General features: G+C 37.8%; 1 protein-coding gene and 1 pseudogene across 34 annotated transcripts in view; both read right to left on the minus strand.

Moving 5' to 3' along the window:
• ZNF248 (zinc finger protein 248) overlaps nucleotides 1-20,087 on the minus strand; it is a 99,566-nt gene that overhangs the window by 27,897 nt on the left and 51,582 nt on the right. For 11 of the 33 annotated variants that reach the window (XR_001747152.2, XR_001747150.2, XR_001747148.2 and 8 more), the window contains one exon: nucleotides 17,399-17,509. The exons of 11 other annotated variants lie outside the window; for them this stretch is intronic. Coding sequence is in view for 5 of the 22 variants with exons in the window: in NM_001352493.2 (NP_001339422.1) it covers nucleotides 17,504-17,509 (6 nt within the window). In the remaining 17 variants the exon portion in view is untranslated. Of the gene's footprint in view, nucleotides 1-15,081; nucleotides 17,510-20,087 lie in introns of those variants that run through there. 11 more of the 33 variants (XR_001747147.2, XM_017016448.2, NM_001352477.2 and 8 more) reach the window with 4 other exon arrangements.
• ZNF33BP1 (zinc finger protein 33B pseudogene 1) lies at nucleotides 7,504-8,741 on the minus strand (annotated as a pseudogene). The gene has a single exon (NR_051997.1). The product of NR_051997.1 is annotated as a zinc finger protein 33B pseudogene 1 (transcript).

The raw sequence follows: 20,087 nt of genomic DNA on the forward strand, positions 1-20,087 counted from the left end.
ACATCAGCTCCAATAGCCTACTATTTAGTTCCAAGACAACCCAGTAAAAATTAGAAAAACAAGAAAAAAGTGCTATATGCATTATATGACTATATAATGCAAATAATTAAAAATGTAGACATAATCTTGAGGTTGCATAGTTTTAATGTAATGTATGTTTATACATGAATCATTCCATTGAAAAAATAAGAGCATGAAAGATCAGTTTAGTTTTTTAAACAGTACTACTTTTTGTTTTATGGATTTCAAAGTATAATATAGTTTACAGCTGCTTTCTTTCTCAAAATTCATTTTGTAGGGTTAATAATTGTATTCTACCTTTGTGTATTTTATGAAAATTTTTATTTACATGAACTGAATAAAGAGGCATTCCATGTTTATGGATTAAATAAGGCTGAATATTGTGATAATGCACAAAAGTTTTAATTTTGTTGATGTCCAAATTATTCATTTTTTTTCCTTTGGTAGCTCATGTTTTAGGTGTCATGTCTAAGAAACCAAAACAATCTTGAAAGAGAACAAATTTGTAAAACTTATACTACTTGATTTTAAAGTATACTATAGGCCAGGCACTTTGGCTCATGCCTTTAATCCCAGCACTTTGGGAGGCTGAGCCAGGCAGATCACAAGGTCAGGAGATCCAGACCTTCCTGACTAACATGGTGAAACCTTGTCTCTACTAAAAATACAAAAAATTAGCCGGGCATGGTGGTACACGCCTGTAGTCCCAGCTATTCAGAAGGCTGAGGCAGGAGAATCGCCTGAACCTGGGAGGCAGAGGTTGCAGTGAGCTGAGATCACACCACTGCACTCCAGCCTGGGTGACAGAGCAAGACTCTATCTCAAAACAAAAAAAATAATAATAATAAGTAAAATACATAAATAAATAAATAAAGTATACTATAAAGTTACCAAAATCAAGACAGTGTGGCACTGGCATAAGTACGAACACATAGATAATGGAAATTAATTGAGTCCAGGAATAAACTTTTACTGCCCAGGATGCTATGTGTCACTGGTCAACTGATCTTTTTTCCTGTTTTGCTTTTGTATGTATGTTTTTCGGTTTTTGGTTTATTTATTTATTTATTTATTTTTGGTCAACTGATTTTTGACAAAAGTGCCAAGATACTTCAAGAGGAAATTAAATTTGGCATTAAAACAAATTGTATGTCCACAAATCATGTTGGGACAATTGTATATCCCCATGCCAAAAAAAAAAAATAGTAACTTAGACCTTTACCTCACACAATATATGAAAATTAAAGCAGAATGAATCAAAGACTCAGATATAAGAGCTAAAAGTATAAAATTTATAGAAGAAAATATAGAAGAAAAATCTTTGTGACCACTGGTTAGACAAAGAGTTCTTAGACAACAAAGCACAATTCATATAAAAAAAGTAAACTAGATTTCATTAAAAGTGACAGCTATTGTGATTCAAAAGATAACATTGAGACAATGAAAAGATAAGCCATATATTAGTAGAAAATATTTGCAAGTAATATTTCTGATAAGTCTCATAATTTGAATATATAAAGACTTACAACTTGGCCAGGCATGGTGGCTCAAGTCTGTAATCCCAGCACTTTGGGAGGCTGAGGCGGGCAGATCACCTGAGGTCAGGAGTTCAAGACCAGCCTGGCCAACATGGTAAAACCCCATCTCTACTAATAAAAAATTAGCCAGGTGTAGTGGTGGGTGCCTATAGTCCCAGCTACTCAGGAGGCTGAGGCAGGAGAATCGCTTGAACCCAGGAGGTGGAGGTTGCAGTGAGCCAAGATCGTGCCGCTGCACCCTATCCTGGGCAACAGTGAGACTCCATCTTAAAAAAAAAAAAAAAAAAAGAAAACATGCAAAAGACTTGAATGAGACATTTATCAAAGAAAATATACAAATGCAAGGGCCAGACACGGTGGCTCACACCTGTAATCCCAGCACTTTGGGAGGCTGAGGCAGGTGGATCACCTGAGGTCAGGAGTTCAAGACTAACCTGGTCAACATGGTGAAACCCCATCTCTACCAAGAATACAAAAATTACCCAGGCTTGGTGGCATGTGCCTGTAATCCTAGCTACTCAGGAGACTGAGGCAGGAGAATCACTTAAGCCTGGGAGGTGGAGGTTGCAGTGAGCCATGAAGCCACCACTGCACTCCAGCCTGGGTGATGGAACGAGACTCTGTCTCAAAAAATAAAGAAAATACACAAATGCAAACAAAGCAAACATCATTAGTCACTAGAGAAGTACAAATTAAACATACAATAAGATACCACTACATAATTACTAGAATAGTTATTATAAAAACAGACAATAACAAATGATGTTGAGGATATGGAGAAACTGGAACCCCTACAATATGGATGAAACTAAAACAATCATTTTGTTAAATAAAAGGAGTTAGACATACAAGACTAAATATTTATATGAATGTCTAGAAAGACTTTTTTTTTTTTTGAGACAGGGTCTCACTTTGTCTCCCAGGCTGGAGTGCAGTGGCACAACGTTGGCTCACTGCAACCTCTGCTTCCTGGGTTCAAGCGATTCTCCCACCTCAGCCTCCTAAGCAGCTGGGACTACAGGCACATGCCTCCATCCCCGGCTAAAGTTTACATTTTTGTTAGAGATGGGGTTTCATCATGTTGGCCAGGCTGAAAGACAATTTTATAGACACAGGGCAGATCAGTGATTGGCTGGGAGTTAGAGTGGGGACTGACAGCATATTGGCGTGAAGGAATGTTTTTGGGTGATATAAATGTAAAATTGGATTGTGGCGATGTTTGCACAACTCTTAAAATTTAATATATATCACTGAATTGTACACAGTGGATGAATGTTAAGTTACATAAATTATATCTCAAAAAAAAAAACTGCTAAAAAGCCAATGGAGACTGCTTTGAGCAAAAATGCCCTCTACAGAGTAATTTTTCAGACTCCATAAACTTATTGTTAGGTGGAGAGGGCAAACATTTCAGGAAGAGCTCAAAAGGTGTCTGCTGAATATCAGTATCAACTAAAATGGTGTTTTATGGTAATCTAGAAAGATAAGCCATTTTCAGAAGTGTCTTTTTTGATAACCCCTTCTCAGTGCTTTCAAGGGACAGGGCAATGAAGATCTTTTTCTCTCAGGCAAGGTAAAACATAATTATAGAACAACAGATAATTTATTAGCTTACTCATCCAAAAATGTACCCAAGTACACACAGCTGATGGCATTCAGCCTCTCTCTGGTACCTTTATTGTAAAAAAGTTTCTTCTCAGAAAATATGAACTCTATAACATCAGCTGTGTTGACTGAGAAGCCTAGAGGAACAGGATACTAGCCTGTATTCATCTCTTTACAGGTGACTAACACAGATAGGGGAAGGAGTTATATATTTCTCAATAAACAAATATTTGCTCTGGACTAGAACAAGGGAAAAATTCCTCCAGCTTAGTTTACTAAGAACACCTGAAGTTTTAGGACACTACTTCCACTCTAGTAGGAAGTGGATGAATGAACCACAAGCTTTATCTTTTCTTTCAATTGTACTTAAAACCTGCCTGGGGCCGGGCGCCATGGCTCATGCCTGTAATCCCAACACTTTGGGAGGCTGAGGTGGGCGGATCACAAGGTCAGGAGATCAAGACCATCCTGGCTAACACAGTGAAACCCCGTCTCTACTGAAAATACAAAAAAAAAAAAAAAATGAGACAGGCGCGGTGGCAGGTGCCTGCAGTCCCAACTACTCGGCAGGCTGAGGCAGGAGAATGGCGTGAACCCGGGAGGCGGAGCTTGCAGTGAGCCGAGATCGCGCCACTGCACTCCAGCCTGGGTGACAGAGCAAGACTCTGTGTCAAAAAAAAAAAAAAAAAAAAGTAACTAGGGCTGGGAATGGTGGCTCATGCCTGTAATCCAGCATTTTGGGAGGCTGAGGCTGGAAAATCGCTTGAGCCTGGGAGTTCAAGACCAGCCTGTGCAACATAGGGAGACGCTGTCTCTACAAAATAAAAAGTTAGGCCGGGCACAGTGGCTCACGCCTGTAATCAAGCACTTTAGGAGGCTGAGACGGGCAGATCACGAGGTCAAGAGATCGAGACCATCCTGGCCAACATGGTGAAACCCCGTTTCTACTAAAAATACCAAAATTAGCTGGGCGTAGTGGCGCACGCCTGTAGTCTCAGCTACTCGGGAGGCTGAGGCAGGAGAATCTCTTGAACCTGGGAGGCAGTGGTTGCAGTGAGCCGAGATGGCATCACTGCACTCCAGCCTGGCGACAGAGCGAGGCTCCGTCTCTAAATAAATAAATAAATAAATAAATAATTTTTTAAAAAAATAAAAATAAAAAATAAAAAAAGTTAGCCAAGTGTGAGTGTGCACTCCTGTAGCTCCAGCTACATGGGAGGCTGAGATAGGAACATTGCTTGAGGCCAGAAGGTCAAGGCTGCAGTGAGCCATGATTGAACAACTGCAGTCTGGCCTGGGCAAGAGACTGAGACCCCATTATCTTAAAAAAAAAAAAAAAAGTGTACTAGAAGTGTAGTTTAGCTCTGACATGACAACAGTCAAGTTCCCACCTTGGGGCTGAAAAATGGTCTATGTTTTTGTTTCTCTTATACTTTGTTATTTCTTTTTTTTTTTTTTTTTTTTTTTTTTTTTGAGACAGAGTCTCACTCTGTCTCCCAGGCTGTAGTGCAGTGGTGCGATCTGAACCTGCTTCCCGGGTTCACGCCATTCTCCTGCCTCAGCCTCCCAAGTAGCTGAGACTGCAGGCACCCGCCACCACGACCGGCTAATTTTTTTGTATTTTTAGTAGAGACGGGGTTTCACCATGTTAGCCAGGATGGTTTCAATCTCCTGACCTCGTGATCCACCTACCTCGGCCTCCCAAAGTGCTGGGATTACAGGTGTGAGCCACCGTGCCCGGCCTTTGTTATTTATTTCCACAATATGTTAATGGTCATTTATTATGCTAGATGTGAATACACTGATACAAAAATGTGAGTAAAGCCTTGGCAGTTTTAGCACACTATTACTTTCAGGTATATTCGTTTTCAGGTATACTCTTTTGTATGGGACTTTTTCTGTTTTTCATATACCAATTGAAGAGGTGGAGATTAGCTTCTGGCTTATCTGATGAACTTGAAATAGCCACCCCACAACAGGGAAGTGGGAGACAGATGGATTTCAGTGGGATGTCATTATGAAAAGCATATAACCTTCTCCAAATAATTAAAAGCAGCAACAAAAGACAAAAAGAAGAAAGCCATTTGAATAAAAATTAACCTTATAAATGCAATAAACATTTTAATTCCTTTAACAACAAAAGGTTGGGAGCATGTTGAAAGAACCCAGAAGCCAACCTGAAAGAGCTCTCTCAAGCAGTCTCTAAGCAGCAGTGACTACTGCAGCTATTGGCTGGTAAGAACAAAGCAAGCACAAATGGACTGAAACAGTTTATGCCTTACATAGACCACATACGCAAGATCACCATAGTGTCAGCTGCCTTTATCTCCTCTCCCACAGGATGATACCAAGAATAAAAGGGCCATAGGATGGGCAGCATGAGTAGCTGGGATACTCTCTTGCAGAAGAGCTAATTCTAGACCACAGTTAAGTGGTTTTATAGCTTGCAGATCTACCCATGGAGGAGGGTGACAAGGTACAAAGTCTCATGCCTGGGACCAGAGAGGCAGATGAGAAACTGCCTCCCACAAGATAGGGAGGTGAATGAGATGTAATTTCATGATAGCTCCTCACTACCTGCCAAGACACAGGTCAGCCTGCAGTTGAGCCTGTCCTATGTGGCCATGTATGGAGACATGTAAGACTGCCAGGGTGCCATCATGGAACTGTTTCCCTATAAACTTCCAGTGGCCAAAGCTGAAACAAACTGAGCAACAAAAGGAGTAATGTCAAGAATAAAATAAATATCCATGAGGCCACATTGACATAAATGGCTGAATAAACAGATAAACAAATGAGAAAGAACAAACCTTCCTTTTGGAAGACTAGAAATAATATATGTATTTATCCCCACTCCAAGGGGTGAAGCTTAACTCTTCATGCCTAGAGTATGAGCTGGACTTAGCAACTCACTTCCAAAAAACAAGAGTATGGAAAGGAAAACACTGTAACTTTACAGGTGAGAAACCAGACAGACACCACCTTAATCAAGTGATCAAAGTTAGCACCATCAGCCAACAGTCATGTTGGTATCATGCACACCATCATATGATGCAATTAGGGTACCTAATCTCTGTGGTATTATTCCCCAAATTCCATAACCCCAGTATGATTGTAAGAAAACATTAGGCAGTCACAGATTGAAAGACATTCTACAAAACATTTGACCAGTATTCTTCGTAAGTGCCAGGGTCTTGAAAAAGACAGAAAAACTGATATAACAACTAAACACAATGTGGCATCCTAGACTGGATGCCAGTCTACAGAAAAACACCATTAACAGAAACTGGTGAAATCCAAACAAAATTTTTCATTAATAGTGTTGTACCCATGTTAATTTCTTATTTTGACGTATATGCCAAGGTTGTATATAATGATAACATCATGGGAACTGGGTGAAAGGTGTACGAGAAATCTATTATCATTGAAACTTTCTCTGAATTTAAAAATATTGGCCGGGCGCGGTGGCTCACACCTGTAATCCCAGCACTTTGGGAGGCTGCGGCAGGCGGATCACAAGGTCAGGAGATCAAGACCGGTTTGGCCAACATGGTGAAACCCCATCTCTACTAAAAATACAAAAAAAATTACCCAGGCATGGTGGCACATGCCTGTAGTCCCAGCTACTCGGGAGGCTGAGGCAGCAGAATTGCTTGAACCTGGGAAGCGGAGGTTGCAGTGAGCCGAGATCACGCCACTGCACTCCAGCCTGGGTGACAGAGAGAGACTCTGTCTAAAAAAAAATTATTCAAAAATAAAACTTTTATTTCAATAAAGCAGATGGAAACATAAACAAACACAAATAACAATAAACACAGATTCTTTATTAAAGATGTGGTTCGATACCAATGGCCAATACCATCTAATTAGGCCAAAAAAATGTTGAAGAAAGGGTATCAAATATAACATTTTACATTTGTCAGATAAAATAAATAAAAGTGTTGAAAGATATTAAGGCAAAGTGGTGTGGAGAATTCAGTGGGTCTAGTTCTAATGATTATATTAAGGGCAAATATATTCATTCTATACCCACTTATTCTGGAATCACATATGCAAATCCAATATGTGCATAATTCCTGTGATGCAACATATGCATATAGATCTCAGAGACCTTATATGTTTATTTCTATTTTCTTGATCATTAAACTTATCCAAATTTTAAAGGATTTCCTACTTTTCCGTGTATATATGCGTGTACACATATACATATAAGAATGTTGGCTTTATGCTATAAAATATTTCACATCACATCTGATGCAAAAACTGTGATGACATTTCTTTTTAATATGTTTTTCCACGTTAAGATCCCTAAAAATGGATTCTCAGATGTATAATTTTTTTAAATCTTGTCAAATGTTAATACCAACTGTCCATAAGGTTTAAATCCTAGACTAATAATTTGATGTACAAGTAATTATGCTTATATATACAAGGTTTTTTTTATTGATTTGTTGATTATGATTATTTGATGTTCACGGCTGCATTTCATCAGTTCTCTCATATATAATGAGTTTGGTTTATGGATTTAATTTTGGAGTTTCAATATTTAAGACATTTTCAACATTTAAAAGACATTTTCCGCTATGTGTGCTATCTGATGTACCACAGAGTTTGTCTTCTAGCAAAAGGATTTCTTACATTCATTATACTTACAGTGCTTCTTTCCTCTTTGAATTCTCTGACATTTAGTAAGGACTGAACTGTGGCACAATGATGTGTCACATTTATTACATTCACAGAGCTTTTGCCCTATATTCTACAATGTTCATTGAGACTTGATTTGTGAGTGTAGGTTTTCCCACATTCAGTACATTCATAGGGTTTCTCTCTTGTATCTGTTCTCTGATGTAGTGTGAGATTTAAATTGCTACTGGTTTTCTCAGTCGGTACATTCATAGGGTTTCTCCCCCGTGTGTTTTCTCTGATGTACTGTGAGGCATGAATTACCACTGAAAGTTTTCCCACATCTGATACATTCATAAGGTTTTTCCCCAGTGTGTATTCTTTGTTGTCCAATGAGTTTTAACTTTGCAAAAAAGGTTATCCTACATTTAGTACATTCATAGTTTCTCCTGTGTGTGTTCTCTGATGTTCAGTGAGTGTTGACTTGTGGTTAAAGATTGTCCCACATTCAGTACATTCATAAGGTTTCTCCCATGTGTGTTCTCTGATGCACACTCAGTGTTGATGTCACACAGGAAGTTTTCTCACACTCAGCACATTCAGAGGGCTTCTCCCCTATGTGTATTCTCTGATGTCTAGTGAGATGTACCTTACTATAAAAGGCTTTGCCACATTCACTACATTCATAGGGATTCTCCCCTGTGTGTAGCCTGTGATGTTTTGTGAGATAAGACTTTTTGTTGAAGGTTCTGCCACACTGACTACTTTCACAAGATTTCTATGTGAGTTCTCTGATAATGGGTAAAGTGGAACTTTTTGTGTAAGGCATTTCTACACTCAGTAAACTCATAAAGTTTCTCTACTGTGTCAATTCTCTTAAAGTTTGAAATCTTAATTGCTTGTTTACATTCATTATATTCATTGGGTTCTTGTCCTGTAGGAGCTCTCTGATGTACGTACAGTAGAATGTGATGGTTCAATTATAGTTTTCATACACTGAGGATAATCATGAGATGTCTACTTTGATTGACTTCTTTGATGTATAATAATTGTTGATGAGTAACCAAAGGTCTTCCCAAATGAACCATATTCAAAGAGGCTCTCCCCTGTATGTGCTGTTTGATATAATTTTTTTGACACTGTGCAGGATTGCCATGTTCATTGCTTTCATGCGCTTACTTTCTATTTCAGTTCTCTCATATATCCTGACAACTGACTTTTGGAAGAAAGTGCTTTCACAGTCATTAAATTCAAAAAGCGTTTTTTTTTCCCCCTCTCCCAACATGAGATCTCTTTTGGCTGCCAGAGTCTGCCTTATAAAAGTCTTTTCCATATTCATTAAATCCTTAGTGTGGCCCCAAAATTTGAAGCTGAACACAGTATTCATTATGACTGATATCCTTTCCATTTTGATTGTATTCATGAGGTTTAATTTCAGTAGATGTTTCCTCAAGTTTAAATGCAATGTCACTTCCCACATATATCACATTCATGAGGCACCTTTCTCATGCAGTTTCTATTACTAATCATTAATTCTGAAATATATTTCAAATTTTTATCATATGAATCATATTACTGATAGAGTACTTTTCTTGAATCAACAAGATTAATACCAATATTAAATGCCTTCCACGTAAAGTCTTTTTATGATTAATCATTATTTTGTTTTTTATTAATATAACCTGTCTGGGTTGCTGGTGTTGAATATTCTGGAGTCCCCAGACTTTTTCTAGAATAGAAGAAAATTAATCACATCTGGTGAATTTTACGTTTGTTATGAATTGGTTATACAATTGCACTTAAATGTGGCTAAGCTTTGGCTTCAAATACATTTCTCTCAGGAAGAAAATGCAAATTCTTCTTAATTGGTTATAGTCTGTCTATTTGATTAACTGATATATCTAACTATGGGAAATAATATTTTGTAATAATAAAAGGGGGGGAAGCAAGCAATAAATAGAAATACCTGTGGTGTTCTCCAAACACAAATCTTTATAATACTTTTTTTTTTTTTTTGACAGTCTTGCTCTGTCACCCAGGCTGGAGTGCAGTGGCACAATCTTGGCTCATTGCAACCTCTGACTCCTGGGTTCAAGCAATTCTTGTGCCTCAGCCTCCCGGGTAGCTGGGATTACAGGCATGCACCCCTACAGCTGGCTTTTTTTTTTTGTATTTTTATTAAAGACAGGGTTTCACCACATTGGCCATGTTGGTCTCCAACTCCTGTCCTCAAGTGATCCACCCACCTCAGCCTCCGAAAGTGCTGGAATTACAAGCATCAGCCACAATACCTGGCAAATCTTTAATACTTGTAAGGAATAAATACACCAAATGATGATCTATCGTTGTGTCAAGACTAGGTTCACAGCTTTTTATGAGTGCTGATATAGTCATCTTAGTCTATCAGAGTTGTTTAGTAATAAGCCAATCCTAATCACCAAATCCCATTTTCCCCCTTTCAGTATTCTAGGTTACCTTTTTTTTTTTTGCAAAAAAAGTATTTGTAAAATAATATTGTTTAATTCGATTTTACATCTTGGTTCACACATCTGTAGTTTCTACCATTTTGGGGGAGAACAGAAAAATATCTCTCCCTCAACTGGCTCCTCCATCAATCAATTAGAATATCAGTTACACATAAACATTAGGAAGACAAAAATAGAGGCAGTTATATAGCAGAATTATAAGCAAGGTGAGAAAAAGAAACCTCATGCATCAACAAATATAGTTTTTTTTTTCTAGAGCCCCTAACTGCAAATGGAAGATAAGAAAGGAGAGAATTATAACATCTAATAGTAATTAAGTCTAACTGATTTAATCCTCACAACCCTTTGAGATAGGTTATATTATTATCCCTGTTTTACAGATGAGGAAGCTAAGGCATATAAAGATTAAGAAACTTGTCTAAAGACATACAACTTAGAGTAGTAAAGAATAGTTTCTTGAAAGCAATTGAAGTTAAACATTCAAAGTATCTGGGGACGTAAATTACGCTTTAAACAAAGATCTAGATATGTTTCAGGAGGCTTCAGGAATGAAGTTGGACCCCCTACCTCATGATATACATATATAAATCAACTCAAAATTGATCAAAGACCTAAATGAAAGAGCTAATACTTTAAAACCCCTTGAGGAAAACATAGGGCAAAATCTTAGATTAATTTTAGATTAGGTAGTGGTTTCTTAGATATGACACCCAAAGCATGAGCTACCAAAGAAAAAATGAATAAATTGAACATCAACAAAATTAAAACTTTTGTGCTTCCTAAGATACCATCAAAAAAGTGAAAAGACATCCCACAGAATGGGAAAAAGTATTTGTAAATTACATATCTGACAAGGGTCTGGTATCCAAATATATTTTTAAAAAAATTCTTATATCCCAACAACAAAAAGACAGCCCAATTAAAAAGCAGGCAAAGGATATGAATAGAAATTTCTCAAAAGAAGATAACACTAATGGCCAACAAGCCCATGTAAAGATGTTCAACAGCTTTAGTCATTAGGGAAAATCAACTCAAAATCACAATGAGATCTCCTTTCACACCCACTAGAAAAGCTGTAATAAAAAAGATGGACCAAAAACAAGTATTGGTGAGATGTAGAGAAGTTAAATCCCTCATGCACATTGTTGATTAGAATGCAAAATGGTGCTTCCTCTTTAATAAATAGTTTGGTAGTTCCTCAAAAAGTTAAATTTGAGAGTTAGTATATGACTCAGCAAGTCTACTCCTAGGTATATATCCAGAGAATTAAAACCATATTTTCATGCAAAAATGTATACACAAACGCACAGCAGCATTGCTTCCATCTCATAATAGCCAAAAGGTGGAAACAATCCAAATGTCTACAAACTGATAATAGATAAACTAAATTTGGTATATCTGTACAATGTAATACAACACAGCTTTAACAATGAATAAAGTACTGAGACATGCTACAATAAATGAATCTTGAAAATATTATGCTAAGTGAAAGAAGTCGGACACCAAAGGTGACAAATTATATAATTCCATTTATATGAAATATACAGAATAGGCAAATTTACACAAACAAAAAGCCAATTAGTGGTTGCCTAGGGGAGTGACTGCTGATGGCTATGGGGTTTCTTTTGAGAGTGATGAAAATGTTCTGGAATTCAGATAGGAGTGATGGTTGTACAACTATATGAATATACTAAAAACTAGTGGATGTTGTGGTATGTGACTTTCATCTCAATAAAAAAATGTTAATAAAACAATGAGGAATTTCCATGTGCACTAATTTGGAAAGATCTCCAGTATATACTGTTATATGTAAAAATTAAAGGACAAGGTATATAGTGTTCTATCCTTTGTGTAAGAAGAGTGTAGAAATATATACACAGATACACATGTACATGTATATTCACATGAATACAAACATAACAAGAAAGGGGTAAAAATATATATTATGTGTGGACACAAACATATATGTATACACATATATACATGCAGGTAGGTAGATTGATATAAAACCTAATTTACTTGTCTGCATTAAAAAAATGAAAAAAATGCACATGTAAAAACTTTGTTCCCTATAATTCCCTAGAAGGGGAGGGTGGTGATGGAACAGGTATAGAAGTCAGAATTCACATTGTGTATGATTTATATTGTTTATATTGTATTAATTTTTCAAAATGTAAGTACATTGCCCAACCTATATGCACACACAGAAAAATAAAAATAAATCATCACAGTTTGCTATATAGTATCTAGTAATAGCTGGCCCTGTTAGGTCAAGTGTACATGTCTTCTCCTTGCAGAGTATTTAAAGAATGACATCTCCATCTGAAAATGCCAACCCTGTATGTACATGCTAACATTTTAGGTCTTCAGATGTTTGACCAGCCAGAAGACAGTTTTCATTTTCTAATCAACAGCTTCCTTATTAAAGTGCAATATAATAACTGATAAAAACTGGAATGAAAAATTAACATTAACTACAGATTAAAGATTTTAAGAATCATGCCTTTTAAAGATTAATATATAATAAAAAACCTAAAAAATGTACAATTTTAAAATAAGTATGTGAAAAAATAAAATAAATGTGTATCCAAAATTGGACCAGAGTTATTAGAAAACCAGAAAAACTATAAACCACAAGGTCAAGAGATCGAGACCATCCTGGCCAACACAGTGATACCCCATCTCTACTAAAAATACAAAAATTAGTTGAGCGTGATTGCGCACGCCTGTAGTCCCAGTTACTCAGGAGGCTGAAGCAGGAGAATTGCTTGAACGTGGGAGGCAGAGGTTGCAGTGAGCTGAGATCGCGCCACTGCACTCCAGTCTGGTGACAGAGCGAGACTTTGTCTCCAAAAAAAGAAAAATTCCAGTGTTTGCTAACACTTCCTGACTTATCTCTGAAAATCAGGTGCAAGGTTAGGATGCCAGCTTACACTCAGTAAGACTCGTAAGAAGGGTGAGACAGGACAAGACGAACCTAATGGAGAATTAATTAAGGATGAATGGAAGAAAAAATACACACAGACATAGTAATACATGTAATGATAACTGTGGCATTATAATTCACTGGAGAAAAACGCTAATAACTAGGGTTGGTTGCAACTGGTGTTATGTGGAAAAAAGTAAAATTAGATTTGTCCTCATATTATCTACAATAATGAGTTCCAGATTGATTCAAGACTTAAATATTTTTCTAGTATTAAAAAATACTAGAAGTAGGCCAGGTGTGGTGGCTCATGCTTGTTTTCCCAGCACTTTGGGAGGCTGAGGTAGGAGGATTGCTTGAGCCCAAGAGTTCAAGACACACCTGGGCAACATAATGAGACTCTGTCTCTATCAAAAATAAAAATAAAAAAAGAAAAGAAAGAAAAAAGAAAACACCAGACATAGTACATTAATTTGAAAATTTAAAAAACTTTTATTTTAGGTTCAGGGGTACATGTACGGGTTTGTTATATAGGTAAGTTGCATGTCATGAAGATTTGGTTTACAGATTATTTTGTCACCCAGGTAATAAGCATAGTACTCCATAGGTAGTTTTTTGACACTCACCCTCCTCTTATCCTCTACCCTCAAACAGTCCCCAGTGTCTATTGTTCCTTTCATTGTGTTCATGTGTACTCAATGTCTAGCTCCCTCTTATAAGTAAGAATATATAGTATTTGGTTTTCTGTTCCTGTGTTAGTTCACTCAGGATAATGGCCTCCAGCTCCACCTTTTGTTGCTGCAAAAGACATGATCTCATTCATTTTTATGGCTGCATAGTATTTCATGGTGTATATGTACAATATATTCTTTATCCAGTCTACTGTTGATTGATATTTAGGTTGATTCCATGTCTTTGCTATTGTGAATAGTGCTGCAATGAACATATGTGTGCATGTGTCTTTATGGCAGAATGACTTATATTCCTTTGGGTATATACCCACTAATGGGGTTGCTAGGTAGAATGGTAGTTCTGTTTTAAGTTCTTTGAGAAATCGCTAAACTGCTTTCCACAGTGGCTGAACTAATTTACATTCCCACCAGCAGTGTATAAACATTAAACAACATTTTTTCTTTTTTTTTTTTTGAGATGGAGTCTCTCTCTGTCACCCAAGGTGGAGTGCAGTGGCACGATCTTGGCTCACTGCAACCTCTGCCTCCCTGGTTCAAGTGATTCTCCTGCCTCAGCCTCCCAACTAGCTGGGATTACAGGCATCTGCCACTACACCCAGCTAATTTTTGTATTTTTAGTAGAGATGGGGTTTCACCATATTGGCCAGGCTGATCTCGAACTCCCAACCTCAGGTGATCTGCCTGCCTCGGCCTCCCAAAGTGCTGGGATTACAGACATGAGCCACTGTGCCCGGCCTAAACAACATTTTTAAAAAAATATCATTATATTTGCTGGGCACAGTGGCTCACGCCTATAATCCCAGCACCTTGGGAGGCTGAGGCAGGCAGATAATGAGGTCAGGAGATCGAGACCATCCTGGCTAACATGGTGAAACCCCATCTCTATGAAAAATAAAAAAAATTAGCTGGACGTGGTGGCATGCACCTGTAGACCCAGCTACTCAGGAGGCTGAGGCACGAGAATCCCTTGAACCCAGGAGTGGGAGGTTGCAGTGAGCTGAGACTGCGCCACTGCACTCCAGCCTGGGTGACACAGCAAGACTCCGTCTCAAAAAAAAAACATTATATTGAATTAAATAAGAACTTTAAGATTTTAAAAAATCAATTACAAAAAAATCAACAGATCAGCCTAGATAAAAATATTCTCATAAAGCCAAAGGCACTGTATAAATAAAATGCAAGAGAAAAACTTGGAGAGTTGGTAACAAATATAATACACATAGAATTATTCTCCAAAATATATACAAGAGCCTTAAAAATAATATAGAAAAATGATTCAAAAATAGTAATTTGTTTACAAAAAACCCATAAATATAGGATATATAAGCTCATTAGTAATCTGAAAAATGCATATTAAAATGACAGGGTTTTCACAGAAGTTAGATTGGCAAGAAGTCTAAAGTCTGACAACACCAAGTGTCAGCAAGGAAGCAGAGTGAGTGACAGTTTCATGTGCAGTACCACAGATGAAAGGAGGGAATTGTTCAAGCAGAGCTATGTTAAGGGCATGCAGACCATTCAGCCTTCTTCTGGATACTCTGAATCTTATCTCTGGATGAAGCAAGACCACTGAAAAACTGTCCACTTGAACCTCAATGTTTTAATCTCCTGAAAGACTTCTCTTTGAATTCTCTTTTGCTGTCAGAAAGATCAGAGGATTTTTGATGAGAAAGATCAAAAATCTGCAGCTCAGCTTCGATAATCTGGGACATTATAGGACCTGCATGTATTGAAAACTGACTTTGCTCAGTTACTGACCTGCTACTTTATAGTTTCCCTGATGTTGAGTTTTATCTATTTCTGTTTTTTCTATTTTAATTTCTGTTCCCTTATAAATCTCACAAAGTCCATTGTAAAACAAAGTGGGAATAAACAACTCGCCTGGGATCTGTTCGTTTCTTGTTACTCATGGAGAATGGAAGAGAATTATAAAGGTAAAGCTGGGGAAGAAGGAAAGAGAATGAGATCCTGTGCAACCTGGCTGCCATGAAGCTTGCAGACTCACCTGCCTAGAAAACTTGCATGCAAGGTCCCTGGGGGGAATGTCCCTTTAACCCTAAGAACAGGAGAGACGCTGTGGAGGAACACCCACGTGTCCATGCTGACTCTGACAGGTCACCAAAAGTTTAGACATGCAATTTTTCATTAGATCACTGTAAATATTTCCTACTAATTCATAAAAAATGCATGTTCCCCTCCCATTGGCTAAAAGAAAAATTTAAAACAACAGAGAATCAATCAAGCAAATTACAATACAGAAAAGAAAAACTGCGCAGTCATTAAAACACTGGAAAAAAATGCCCTGGCTGTACTGTTTCTCAGCCTTCCTAATGATAGTACTTGTCCCTTCAGTTCGAAAATCCTCCTCAACATTTCCAGAAAACAGACGCAGGTGCTTTAGTTGTTTATTTTAACTCAGTTGCAGTTTCTCAAAAGGATCTTTTAATTTTAAAAACTTGATGTGGCTTAATTGTTTAAGACTGGATGGCACTTAGACTTTTTTGTTTTTTGTTTTGAGACAGGGTCTGGCTCTGTTGCCTGGGCTGTACCACAGTGGTATGATTCACAGCTCACTGCAGCCTTGAACTCCTGGGCTGAAGCTCAAGTAATCCTCCAGTCTCGGCCTCTTAAGTAGGAGAACTACAAGTGCGCACCACCACAGCCAGATACTTTTTTTTTGTAGAGACCGGGTCTCACTATGTTGCCCAAGCTGGTCTTGAATTCCTGGATTCAAGCAGTCCTCCCATGTCGGCCTCCCAGAGTGCTGGGATTACAGGCATGAGCCACCGAGCTCAGCCCTAATTAGTTATTTTCTGAGTATGCCACTAACAAATGAAATGATTAAATAAGTCACATTTTCTAGGCCCATTTTTTGACCTTTATACAACACTGTCACTTGATTTTTGTAACATCAGAATAGGAACAATGATGCATCTCCACAGGCTGCAAAGACAGTGAGTAGACAGGAAGGGAGCAGGCTTATGGAGGAGCACAGGGACAAGTTCCCCATCTAGGCGATGCCTTCCCCAGACTGTGTCCTCACAGTCCTCACAGTGGGCAGTGACGTGTCCTCTCCTGTGCTGCCTGCCCCTTGCTCATGCTGGCAGCCTAATTCTTCCTGAAAGCCCATCCACTGGACAGTCTGCCATGGTTTCTGCATGTGCTGACATCACCAAGTGTTATTTAACTGTACAGGAGTGCCAAGAATGTCTTCAGTGAACAGGCAGTTCCAGACATGCTCTTTCCTGGCCTTTTCCACTCTGCTCTGAGGCTCTGCTGAAAGGTCTCAGATCAGAAGTGTGACCTTCCACGTGGGTTCTTAGGGACTACTCCTTATTACCTCAAAAGCTACTTTATTCCAAGGATGCTGGGACAAGGGGACAAAGTAAATTTAGTTGGAACCTTCAATCTGACCTTCAGATAACACACTTTCCCTGAGAATCAAGGCCTGGGCCATCCATGAATTCAAACAAAGTCCCCCAAGGACAAATGCTGGACAAGGCTTACCTGGCTTAGAAACTTCAATCATACTGCCTGACCCTGGAGCTCAGAAGAAACATCAAGAATCCTGGAAACACACGGGCCAAGTTTCCTGTGAAGGCACATCAGTTCTCAATGCTGTGAATAACAATGTTGGGTTTTAGACATGGTGGATAATTAAAAAGAACAAGAAGACATGGAGAACAGAGTTCGAAAACTAGGTTCCTGCAGCTGCTGGTTACATGATCTTGGGTAAGTCACTTCACCTCTCTAAACTTGTTTCCTTTTTCTTTTTCTTTTTTTTTTTTTTTTTTTGAGACAGGGTTTCTCTCTCTGTCACCCAGGCTGGAGTGCAGTGGCGTGATCTCGGCTCACTGTCGCCTTCGCCTCCCCGGCTCAAGCGATATTTCAGAGTGCAGTCTACTACATTAACTGTACCTGAGGGTGGTGGTTTGAATATGTATCTTGTTATAACATCAAACTTCAGTTCATAAACTGAGGATTTTCAAGAATACTTTTTCAATCTTGTAACTAGCATTACTACTTAATTACTGAGTAGAAAACATAGTTATATATTATTAAAATGATTATTTGAATTATAATAGTGAATCTTATTTATTTTATGTATTTATTTATTTCTTTATTTGAGACAAGGTCTCACTCTGTCACCCAGACTGGAGTGCAGTGTTGCCATCTTGGCTCACTGCAACCTCCGCCTCCCCGGCTCAAGTGATCCTCCCACCTCAGCCTCCCGAATAGTTAGGACTACAGGCACCTGCCACCATACCTGGCTAATTATTTTTTAATTATTTGTAGAGACAAGGTCTTGCCATGTTGGCCAGGCTGGTCTCGAACTCCTGGGCTAGAGTGATCCACTCACCCTGCCTAGGTCGCCCAAAGTGCTGGGATTACAGGCGTCAGCCACGGCACCCAGCCTGATATTAATAATGTGAATCTTAATATCAAGGATGGGTTATCAAATCATTGACGAAGTTTCCAAGTCCATAAAATAAGAGTATGGTTCATTCACAAGCACTAAAGCAATGGAGTTCATTCTTCTTTAATAGCTAAATAATTGTATAATGATAATAAACATTATTTATACTTTATTTTGTATATCAGCTTATAAATTCTGATTCATTACAATTTTATTTTAATTTAGAAGGAATCATATTATGTCATTCTGTGTTCCACTCCTAAAAGAAGATATAGTTACTAAGTTGTATTAGGCCAATGCACCCACTTCAACACCTAGAAAAAAACTAGACAAATAATAACAGTTGTATTTTTTGTATTTTCAAAGATGTCGGAGAGTGGTAGAAGTAATGAGGATAACAGAAATTCAATTCTAGAGAGGAGGAGCCTTGCCTGGGCACCCTGAGGATTTCTAGCTTTTTCTTCACTAGGTCATTTACCATTTCTCCACATGGGCTGAACCTAGGCAGAGAGTATACTACTGAGTTGCCAGTGTAATTCAATAGGAAAAGATGATCTGTACAATAAATGATGCTGGTACAATTGAATATCTGAATGCTAGTACTAATGAAAAGAAACTGGGGATAGCCATATTAATTTCAGATAGAGCAGAATTTAAAGCAGGTTATCAGAAATATATGATATATACTAAACCAATCAGAAGCAGCCAACTAACTTACATAATTAGGGACTTTCCAATGGAATAGACCAAATAAGGAAACTGTACAACTGTAACCCATCAAATATTTTCTTTATTTCCACATTCACTCTGTAAAAACCTGTCCCTTATGCTTCTTTTGGTTTGGTGTTTCTTGATTTACAAATCGCTGTTCGCTCAAATAAACTCTCCAAAATTTTTCATCATGTCTGTTTTTCTTGTAAGAGGAGTATATAAGGGATCACTGGGTCAATGTGCATGATGGAGCCATTCTCTGGGATAGGGAAATTATATAAAATATTCTAACGTAATAATACTCTTTTTGCATCATTCTAAAAAAAGTGTTGGGTGGTTACCTACACAATGTTAAGAATATTCACCAATAGCATATTATATATATAGATACACACACATATGCATATGTGTGTATACATACATATGGTACAGTATTCAGATTCTTGCATTTGCAGGACAAATATGAATACATGCAGTACAAACATGTACATATGAACATTTGTGTACAAGCATTTGAGTATCTGTTTTCATTTCTCTTGCGTATATTTCTAGGAGTAGAATTGTTGAGCAAGATAGTAAAGTTATGTTTAACACTTTCAATCTGAACAATATTGCACTGTGTGAACATACTACAATTTGTTTATCCATTCATCCATCAGGGGACACATGGGTTGCTTTCACTTTTTGGCTTTTGTGAATAATGCTGCCATAAACATGGGTGTGAAAATATCTTTCAGACTCTGCTTTCAATTATTTTGGATATATACTCAGAAGTGGAATTGCTGGATCATATAGTAATTCTAATTTTATGAGCAACTGCCATAATAGCTGCACCATTTTCCATAGCAGCTGTACCATTTTACATTCCTATCAACAATGCACAAGAGTTTCAACTTCTCCACATCCTCAACTACACTTGATATTTTTTCTTTCCATCTCCTTTCTTTCTCCCTCCCTTCCTTCTTTTGATAGTAGCCATTCCATTGAGGATTAGGTGGTATCTCATTGTGGTTTTAATTTGCATTTCCTTAATAACTAGTGATGTTGACTATCTTTTCATATGCTTAT

This window comes from Homo sapiens, chromosome 10, assembly GCF_000001405.40.
Source record: "Homo sapiens chromosome 10, GRCh38.p14 Primary Assembly".
Lineage (NCBI taxonomy): Eukaryota > Metazoa > Chordata > Mammalia > Primates > Hominidae > Homo > Homo sapiens.